Source organism: Homo sapiens, chromosome 13 (genome assembly GCF_000001405.40).
Source record: "Homo sapiens chromosome 13, GRCh38.p14 Primary Assembly".
Taxonomy (NCBI): Eukaryota; Metazoa; Chordata; class Mammalia; order Primates; family Hominidae; genus Homo; species Homo sapiens.
This window is the reverse complement of record NC_000013.11, coordinates 26742414-26753580: the sequence shown is the minus strand read 5'-3', so window position 1 is coordinate 26753580 and position 11167 is coordinate 26742414. Positions and strand designations below refer to the sequence as shown.

Below are 11167 nucleotides of genomic sequence, written 5' to 3'. Positions count from 1 at the left end.
TATTTTGAATCTACGGGATTCTTATATGGGTTGACGAAAATACAAACCTTCCACATATGGAGAAATGAAGGCCTGTCTTTTACAGATATATGTGGTTACTGGGATAAAACCTAAGGGAAAATGTGTTCTGATCCAACTATATCCTTACTCCTTCCTAGATCCTTTTGAAGCATGAACAAATTTACTCTGGGATTCTATAGAGTCTAATAATTGGAAGAAAACATATGAAGTAGAATTTTCTATATCAAATCTAAATCACCTAAGTCAAGATCTCTTTGGAAACTGAAGTTGTACACTTTTTTCTCAGTGCCTTGCAGTGTTTTGATATTCCAAATCTTGATCTTTCTTATTATATTGTAATTCTATTTTTGTCTTGGCCAAGCCCCTGGAGGTACAGAGAACCCCTTAATCCCAGCTCAACATTGATATATTGAAAATATTCATTAAACAATATTGTTCTCTTCTTCTTCAAATAAAACTCTAAATTATTTATGTCATATGTTTCTGATTTTATTTTATATCCTTTTGATCATTTTCCTGATCCCTTTTTCCATATCATTTACCATTTCTCTGCATACCTTTTCATATCTAGTGATCAGAATGAGGATACAATAATCTACTAAATGGAGCAGAATGATGGACTATTCTCTGCTTCTGGTTACTGGATGGCAGTGGTTCTTTAAGTATGAGCCCTCACCAGCAGCACCAGCATCTCTTGGGAACATGTTAAAAATGCAGTCACCCAAGATTTACTGCTGAAAACTCAGGGTATGAGGCCCAGCAATATGAGTTTTAATAAGTCCTCCAAGTTGATTCTGATGCACGCTAGAGTTTGAGAACCATGCCATATAGCTTTGACTGAATCCTAAAGTCTTCCTGACATTACTAATAACGTTAATATCTCAGCAGTACTAGGACCTCTCAGCATTTTTTGCTATGTCTATGCAAGGCAGTCTTCACATTGTACTGTAGCAAATTATAGATGATTTTTGTTTGTAGATGTGCTGCCTTGCACTGATTTCACTGGAATTTGTTGCTCTTTTCAAGGTTATTTTCTAATTCATCAAGTTCAATTAAACTTCTGCCCCTTCCGTTAAAGCCATATCACTGTCATGTGCCTCAGACAGAAAGACAATTCAGTGAGAAGAAAAAAACCCAATCAGACCTCTTTTTTGGCATTATGGAGATAAGTCTTCCTGTTCGTATTTGTTACTATCTGTAAATTGCCCCGAATATTCCACAGTTGCAGCCTCAACCGTCCATCAGTGCATCAACTGTCCATCCATTCCCCCATCTGTGGTCTGTGGTTATGCATAGACACACACACACATATGCATGCGTACAATCACACCCTTTACCTTCCTCTCTCATACTTCCACACCCTTCCACTGTCCTTCTACAATCCCAGACCAGAAATCTTCAGTGAGGAAGTCCAGAGAACTAAGGCAGTTGATTGAGGGTCTCATTTTAGGCTAGTTTTGTGGTGTTGATAGGCATGGTTTTGGCAAGCATAGGTCAGGATAAAAACACTTCCGTGATTCCAGACCGAGGACAGTTTCTACGATACAGGTTGGTTTACATCTCACCCCACTTCACACTAACCTCAAGATGCTGTGATTCATAGTCCAGAAAGTTCAATAAATAAGAGCAATAAACACATTTTACATAAGAGTTTTCTTAATTCTAGGGATTGACTTGAGGCTAGAACTATGAAATAGTTGCATCTACTGACAGCACAGAGGGATGTCATTTTTTCTCTTTTTTCTTTTTATTTTTTTAGACAAAGTCTTGCTCTGTTGCCCAGGCTGGAGTGCAGTGGCACAATCTTGGCTCACTGCAACCTCCACCTACCAGGTTCAAATGATTCTCCTGTCTCAGCTTCCTGAGTAGCTGGGACTACAGGCGTGTGCCACCACATCCAGCTAATTTTTTTTTTTTCTGTATTTTTAGTAGAAACGAGGTTTCACCTTGTTGGCCAGGCTGGTCTCAAACTCCTGACCTCAAATGATCCATCCGCCTCGGCCTCCCAAAGTGCTGGGATTACAGGCATGAGCCACCACGCCCGGCCTAGGATGTCATTTTCATGAGTGCTCTTTAACCTTTCAAATTACTAAATCAATTCTGTCAGTTTTCTTTAGGAATATTTGAAGCTAAGAAAACATAGTTTAAGTGCCCAAAAATGTTTCTTACTAAACACACTCTCTTTTTTAAGTTCAAGATCCAGTTTAAGAAGCAGCAAATCCCACAATACAGGCTACAGAGAGGTTTTTCACCTATTAATGAAGACTATAAATCAGATATGGTGGCTCGTGCCTCTAATTCCAGCTTTTTGGGAGGCCAAGATGGGAGGATAGCCTGAGGTCAGGAGTTCAAGAACAGACTGGGCAATAAAGCAAGACCCCATCTCTACAAAAAATAAAAAAATTAGCCAGGCATGGTGGTGTGTGCCTGTAGTCTTAGCTACTTGGGACTTAGGTGAAAGCTCTGAATGGGCTTTGGGACAGAGGTGGCTACTCTCCCAGCCCAATTACCCAATATTTTTCAGATGTAGACGCATTTTCCCTTGAGACTTTCGAGATGTCTCAAGTGAGGATCTAGCTATTTCTGAAACACCTCAATCCAGAGGTGATGATAACTAAAGTAACTAAAAGGACTGAGGTTTTGCTCTCCTAAGCCCTAATCCAGGAGATAACAGCCATGAGACGTGCCCAATGGGCCTTGTGTCCCCTCCTGTTTGCATTCCTCTTGAAGTTTGTCACAGGGATGAAGGTTTCCTCCCCACCCTCGCACTCCAGAGAACGGAACACAAACAAACCGTGCCCAGATGGTGAAAAAGCAAAGCTGCCCAGGGCTGTGGGCAGCCTATTTCAAGCTGTTCTTATGAAAAAGTCTTCACTCTGCATAAGGTAATTGTTTCAGTCCATGAACACTTGACAAACCCTGACAGTACTTCCCAGATAATATGCTTTGAAGCTTATCCACTCTAACCAGCTTACTGTTCATATGAAGACAGTTTCTTCCACTTTTAGACATTTTCCCCCCTCTAGTTACTAGCTGGCTCTCAGGGACTCATTCCAGGATGTCTGGAGAGGTTGAAGAGGTTTGGAAAAGAAAACCTGATGGCTACAGGGTGCCTCCCTCGACCTGCAGACCTTGATGGAGTGACATGGCTTGAACAAGCAATGTTGATGACAGATGCCATTGTGATGTAAACTGACAGTTCCATAGTCTTTTAATTTATTTACTTATTTAATATTTTTAGAGATGGGGTCTTGCTCTGACACCCAGGCTGGAGCGGAGTAATGTGATCATAGCTTACTGCAGCCTCATGCTCCCAGGCTCAAGCAATTCTCCTCCCAAGTAGCTAAGACTACAGGCACACACCACCATGCCTGGCTAATTTTTTTATTTTTTGTAGAGATGGGGTCTTGCTATGTTGCCCAGTCTGTTCTTGAACTCCTGGCCTCAAGCTATCCTCCCATCTTGGCCTCCCAAAATGCTTGAATTAGAGGCATGAGCCACCATATCCGATTTATAGTCTTCATTAGTAAAAAGATTAAGAACTCTTGCTCTAGACTTAGGCTGCCTGGGTTCATTTCCCATCTCTGTCACTTTCTACTTGACTAGCCTTGGGCAAGTTACTTAACTTCTCTGAGGCTCCATGTGTTGGTTCGCCAAAATGAGCATGCTGCAAGAACCTTCCTCATGGTATTGGCTGAGATAAGACATACGGACAGTTTAATATAGTATTTGGCACATATCTACTTGGATGCTACTTTCCAGTAGTATTATTATCACTACTGTTGCTGCATTGGTATTATTATTACTGTTACTTACCCAAAACCTGTCAATTACTAATATTGCTTCCACTAGTTAGTGAAGTAGAAACCCAGATAAAAGCTTTACATACATAATCTCATGTAATCTTTTCAGCCGTGCTATGAGGTCTGCATTGATATTCTCCATTACAAATAAGGAAACTGATACACAGAGAGGTTGATTGGCTGCCTAAAACCACACAGCCTTTATGTAGCTCACCGTGAACTCTTAGAAACAAGCAATGCCTGCTAAGAAATCCCCAGTCAAACCAGCCTTTGCATAAAAAGGTAAGAGGAGTCTTCAAAGGCAGCCCAAGCTCAACTCGAGAGGCGTGGCCAGACACACCCAGGCACTCGGCGGGGGGGGGGAGGGGGGAGGGGCGGGGCCCGCCTTGTGGGCTCTGGAAGGCAGACTCCCTGGAGACAAATGGGATGCTGATGGATCTCAAAGGGCAGACTGGACCTAGGTAAGTGTAAAGAAGACCGAAGAGTTTTCTGGGAGAAGTAACTGTGATGGGATTCAAAGGAGTGAAGAGGAAGTGACTTTAGCTTATTTGAAATGGGGCAAAATTGACATTTTTTTAAATGACATTTTAATTTGAACCAAGTCTCAAAAAAAAATCCTGCAAACTATATTTATATGAATTTCAGTTTAATCACTAAAAGCTCACATTTAGGTGCTTTGTAAACTTTATAAATGTAAGATTTTAAAAAATGTATTCATGTTTATTGAAATCCATCAAAGCGTGTGTTCCAAAAAAGAACTTAGAGATCAAAAGTTTGCAGTTGTATAGACATGGATTTACATAAATAAAAAATATTTATTTTTAAAAGTCAGCTATTTTATGTGTACTTTTCAACATAAAACATAACATGCTCAGAATTTTTCATTTTAAATAAACCTGTTAGATGTACTGGTAGCGTCCAGATTCTTAAGCTGGAAAGGACTTTGCAAGCATTCACTTCACTGACCAGGAAGCCCAGGCCCCGGACAAGCTCTGACCGGGCAAAGTCATTAGCCAGGGAGCGGCAGACCCAGAACATGAACTTGGAGTCGTGATTCCTTGTCCAGAACTTTGTTCTTGGGCAGATTTTCACTGACAAGGAAAAGCTTGAAATGTGAAAGGCTTTGTCTAGTATTTGCTTTCTAGGTTCGAATAATTTTTTTCTTTTCTTTTTTTTTTCCTTCTTCAGATGGAGTCTCGCTGTCACCCAGAGTCGAGTGCAGTGGCACAATCTTGGCTTACTACAACCTCCGCCTCCCGGGTTCAAGCGATTTTCCTGCCTCAGCTTCCCGAGTAGCTGGGACTACAGGTGCGCACCACCACACCCAGCCTTAAGTTTGAATAATTTGTAATTACTACTGGCTATAAGAAATCCTTGTTATAGTTGAATAATAATTATCACTATAAGGGCTAACACTCTGCACTCAATTTGTTTCAGGGGCCATGCTAACGACTTTATGTGTATTGACTTATTTATTCTTCACATCCACAAAGATGATATTTGGTAGTATTAATTCTACTATTTAAAAGGAGAGTGTTCACACATGCAAATTGAGAGTGATTCTTATAACCCTTCTTTTGTGTCTCCTAATCCTGTGTTGTACACATCCCTGGAGCTTAACACACTTTCACTATGTCTGGGCCAAAACTCTTCAACAATTTATTGGCTTAATAATCAAGGTTGCATTTCAGAAGCCATTGCATTTAAATACAGATTGTATTATGTTTTTGTGCCTAACATATCAGTACAAAATTTGACAGACACAGTAGTCATTGTGATTCTTTGTCATATCTGGCAAGCTATGAAGAGGGGTAGGCAAAAGTCCAGAACCCGTCTCTATCCTGCCAAAGTGTGTGGCCCTTGCCAGACCTCACCAGTGTGTCTTTCTCGCATTTTTGAGAAGGGGCAGGGAAACTCCACACATGGCAGAGTGATGAGCTTGTGGAAATAATAATGACACAACTAGATTAATGTGTGCAAATATACAGTGAGATGGAAGAAATGAGACCTGGTGTTCAGATGAGTAGGATGCCACAGTTAACATTAACCAGTTGTACATTTCAAAATAACTAGAAGAGAATACTTGAAGTGTTCCTAGCATAAAGAAAAGATAAATGTTTAGGTGATGGATATGCCAGTTACCATGATTTGATTTTATGAATGTATGAAATTATCACATGCATCCCTAAAATATGTACATGTATTTTTATCAATAAAGAATTAAAAAATAAAATGAATGACAAAAAGTAATGACACTATATTTAAAAGTCACAGCAAACAGCACAATGTATTGAGTATTTGCTGTTCCAGGCACTGTCATAGGCGTTTTACATAAGTGAATTCTTTTCATCTTTACAATGACACAGTGACATTTAGGTACTTTTATTATCTCCCTCTCACAGATGAGGAAATTAGGGATTGAAAGATGAAGTAACATGCCACGATATCCCACCTGTTAAGTGGCTGGTCCATCCAAGCCTAGAACCTCCCTCTTTACTACTAGACACACTTGCTTCCTGTCTGTCCTTGAGGATTAACCTGGTGTTTGTCTCTGAGGCCCAACTACATGATATTCACACCAACTGCAATTCCTGGAAGACATAGATGCTCAGAATTTCTTTGTTGTATTGCCTCTAAATAGAAGGCTATTTTCCACCAATGTTGGAGCCAGATTCCTTGCTTCTGCTTAAACACCTGAACACAACTTAAGTCAACTGCATTAAAGGTGTGGACAGGCCGGGCACGGTGGCTCACGCCTATAATCCCAGCACGTTGGGAGGCTGAGGCGGGCGGATCACGACATCAGGAGATAGAGACCATCCTGGCTAACATGGTGAAACCCCGTCTCTACTAAAAATACAAAAAATTAGCCGGGTGTGGTGGCGGGCGCCTGTAGTCCCAGCTACTCGGGAGGCTGAGGCAGGAGAATGGCGTGAACCCAGGAGGCAGAGCTTGCAGTGAGCCGAGATCGCATCACTGCACTCCAGCCTGGGCGACAGACCCAGACTCCGTCTCAAAAAAAAAAAAAAGGTGTGGACAGAGGATGGCTCCACCTCCACTTCCATCTCACTCCCCCTCCACTGGGCCAGTGGGGCACTGGTCCTCTTGATACGAGATTATTTCATGAGTCTCAAACAATATTTTTTTCAAAGAAAGCATAGAAGACATCTGAAATTATACATAATCTGAAGAAATTCTTAAAGTGAGCTAATCAGTAAAAATAGGATTTTTTTTTTTTAATGGAAGGCAGTTGCTTTCTTAGTTTCACTGAGTGAGAAAAGACATAGACTGGCTATTTTCCAGTCTGCCAAGTTTGCAAGATTTTTAAAGAAGATGACCTACACTTTATATTTGATGACAGATATCACTGAAAGTGATGGATTTGGAAAGTCCATTTCAATAAAGCAATCAGCTGACTCATTGACCTTGAAGTCCAAGAATAATAATCCTTACAGCAAGTGACATCTAATACAAGTGTACTTCAGTAATGTGTGTGTGGTTGTGTGTGTGTGTACACACATTAGTGCAGACATCTAATCTATGCGTTCACATTTAGATTTTGGCAATGAGAAACTACTGAAGATATGGAAAATCAAGCTTGCTTTTTTCTGTAAGAGATATGAAACAAAATAATGAGAATCACGCCAAACAAACACCTACTGAATCATTCCAAACTTGTGTTTTTATATAGTTTTAAAAGTACACAATTCACTAAGTAGGGAGGTTTTAAAATTTCAATGTTACTGTACATATTTTGGAATATATAATGTTAGTTGGCAAATATTTAGTATAGAACTGCCCAATTTAGATGGTAACTTATTTAAAAAGCTCTACCAACTGTATTATTATTTATTATTATTTGATCACTGTGGCAATTGAGCATTTGAACTGTGACTAGTGCAACTGAGGGACTGAATTCTGAATATTATTTAGTTTTAAGTGACTTTAATTTAAGAAGGCACACATGGCTGGTAGACACTGCAGTAGGCAGTAAAGATCTAGATGTAAACTAATTTTCTTATGAAGACTACTATAACTACAGGTCCTATTTTCAGAGCTCAGGTCCCCGCCTCATGGTCCTCCTTGCTGGTCTACCAGCTTGAAATTATTCACCACAACACGATTTAAGAAAATCTAATGTTAGAGATTTCAAACCGATAAAACTAAAAAAATCAGGAGTGATTATCACTTTGGGCAAGAATTATTACTTCAGAAGATTCACCACTATCCTTTTAAAATAATATGCTTTTTTTCCTTCCGCCTTTAAAATAAAAATCATTTTCAGAAAGTGAGGCAAAATGTAACAACTCACAGAACCCCATGGAGCATTCCAGTGACAAAAACCAGGCTGTGTGGAGCTCCAGGCCGGCGTGTGCCTATTTTCGCCTGGGTCACGGGTCTAGGCTGGGATTCCGCGTCTGTGCACTGCTTGTCACGGTAGTGTGAGCCGAGGAGACGCTCATCAAGGTATGTAGGGTGGGGACCAGGACAGGGCACGCCCTGTCTCTCCAGACACACACTGAAGGGACTTCCTTCCCATATCAGTCTCTCTACAGAAGACAGTTTTAGTTTGAGCTTTTGATTTTCATTACTCCTTTTCGAAAATTTGAAAGGTCCTGTCAATGTTTGCCACAAAAAGACTTCATCATCGGCTTGTCCGCATTCTTGTGATTAAGCCTCTGTCACCTGGACCCAGTGTGCTAGGCAGACTTGCTTCTCATCCACCAAGCGAGTTCCTGGAGATAGCAGTGGTCTCAGGTTCAGATCAAGTGGTGGGTGACAGCTCGTGGGGCAGGGCAGTGGGGAGCTGAGGGAGGTTAGAATTAGAAACAGTGCCATCGGTCACAAAACATCAGTGTCCAGGACTGGTGGGTGAGCTGGCACCAGAGAAGGAGGAATGCAATAAAAGTGGGAATAGTCAGGTTTCTGCCTCCAGGAGCAGTGGACACGGAAGCAGATGAAAGGGTGACGGTCACCACAAACACAGCTGCCTTCAGGCTTACTTGCCAGATCATCTGCAATGAGGACATTTTCTTGATTCTAATAAAGCACTTTTATCTTTGAAATTGTGCATGTTCTACATTTCCCTCCCTCACCCCCATGGACTTAAAAAAAAAAACAGGTTGTTTTGTTTTGTTTTGTTTTGTTTTGTTTTTGAGACGGAATAGGGCTCTACTGCCCAGGCTGGAGTGCATTAGTGCAATCTCGGCTCACTGAAACCTCCATCTCCCAGGTTTAAGTAATTCTCCTGCCTCAGCTTCCCAAGTAGCTGGGATTATAGATGTGCACCACCACGGCTGGCTAATTTTTGCATTTTTAGTAGAGATGAGGTTTCACCATGTTGGCCGGGCTGGTCTCAAACTCCTGACCACCTCAGCCTCCCAAAGTGCTGGGATCGCAGGCATGAGCCACCTCACCCGGCCCCCCATGGACTTTTGAGTGAGAGAAGGAGGAAAATGTACACCAGTTTACAGTAGTCTTCCTTCTATATAATTTTTCAAAAATCGCTTTTCCCAGGGAATTTAATTTGCTTTAATCTCAGCAGGTGATCTCAGCACGAGATGCTCACAATGCGAGCCCCAGTGCCTCTAACAAAGGCAGACCGCATTAACTCCCCGGTGTGGCTGTGTGTGAGCCCTGAGATGCTGCTGCTCACAGTAATGTTAACAACTGAATGATTATGTGAAGATTCTGTAATTTTCATATGGCCTCTTAAAAAACTATTGTGACACTTAGAAATCTGATCTTTAAACAGTTGAAGACTGAAAATATATTAAATTCTGTCCTCAATGTCAAGATTTCAATTGTGGATTAAAATCAGATTCATGTGATTTGCGTGATAGGTAATGCACTTTAATATTTAAAACAGAGTGAGTAATTATTTGTCAGATATCACAATTGCACTGTGTTGTAACTCTTGCTGAATTGAAGATATATAGCTTTGTAGCTCACGCTGTAATAACAGCTTAGTTAAAAGCAAAACAGTTGTCTGAGTTTCGTGACATTTCATATGTGGTATATATGACAAATTTTGCTTTGTAAAAAGATTGTGCATTTCTTAATGTTGAATAGATGCATTGTCGTTATTTTCAATTTACCTAAATATGCCATTTAGAAACAGGGGATTCTGAGTCTCAAATGCAGAGTGTGACTCAGGAAGTTTAGATCTGAGAAAAACAAAACCTTGTAAACTTAACAAAATTTAATTACATTTCTACAGGATCCTGATTACACTGATTTTTGCATAAACTAAAAAATTTTAGAATGTATAAAAGTGCAAAGGTTGAACCACAGGTTAAGCAGCAAATACATATTTACATGTACCCAAAATAATGAATTCTGAATTTGCTTTGAGGACTTAACTTTAAGAATATTTCTACGGCAGATTTGCTTTGCACTCCTTTCTTCTGGGCTGGAGAGAGCCCGTGAAGTCTGACTCCGGCAGGTGAACCTGTGGCCTGCCCATGGGCTCTGGGAGGGAGGTCACCAGCCCCCTTCTCCATCTCTCTGCCGGGCCACCACAGCCTGTGCTTTTACATGTGGTTTTAACTGGAGCATGGCCCAGAAAGGGTGGGTGTGGAGAAGGACCAAACCCGGAGAGCGCACCTCTCCTGTAGGTGGGAATTTGCCGCCCCTCCCCTCCCCGAGTGTCTATGCTTTATAGAGCAGTCTGTACCAGGAGCTCCCTTGTGGCCCCGCCGGCTCTTCTGCGTGAGACAGGTGTCAAATGAAGAAGGCCAGCTCTGGGTTCTAAACAGGCCCGAGGCGAGGATGCCGCCGGCTGCCGGCAAATCGCCCCACCGCACATCACAGAGTTTTTCCTTGACCTGTGAGTTTTAGAGTCAGATGTAAAGCCGTCAGGCCACACCTCCTTACAGACAAGGAGAGACTGCGAAGGACTGGGGGAGGAGCAGGGCTAGGATTCCCTCTCCTGTGTCTGGGCTTAGTAATCGCTAAGCGACTGCGCGTCCTTTTCTTTCTGTGAATTTGGGGGAGACACACAGGCGTGGTCTGGGCAAAGGCTCTCTCTCCTGTTGGTCAGGGCCTACTCGCAAGTGGTGCCCCCTTCTGAGCAGGGCTCAGGGTGTCATCTCCCTAGCACGTCTAGGGTGGTCGCTGGAGCTGCTGAGGAGCAGGGAGGGCCCACTCAGCCCCACCTCAAAAAGACATCAACTGTCTCCCACCGAAGGGGTGCCGGAGGGGAAAAGAAACAGCGCAGAGACCTATTTCTCTCTGTTTTGAAAACTTTCGCACCAAGCATAGGGTGGAAGCATTGCGGTTGTCCTAAGCTTGTAATCCAAAGGAAGGCTGCCAGAACTGATAGCTAGATGGGGCTCCCGTGC

At 42.0% G+C, this 11167-nt stretch overlaps 1 annotated feature.

Moving 5' to 3' along the window:
- Positions 10243-10909: an enhancer, noted in NCBI's record as "H3K4me1 hESC enhancer chr13:27316809-27317475 (GRCh37/hg19 assembly coordinates)". NCBI's record gives its function as "activates a minimal SCP1, AML or CMV promoter by ChIP-STARR-seq in naive H9 embryonic stem cells {active_cell/tissue: H9 hESC(naive)}" and the evidence as "EXISTENCE:reporter gene assay evidence [ECO:0000049][PMID:30033119]".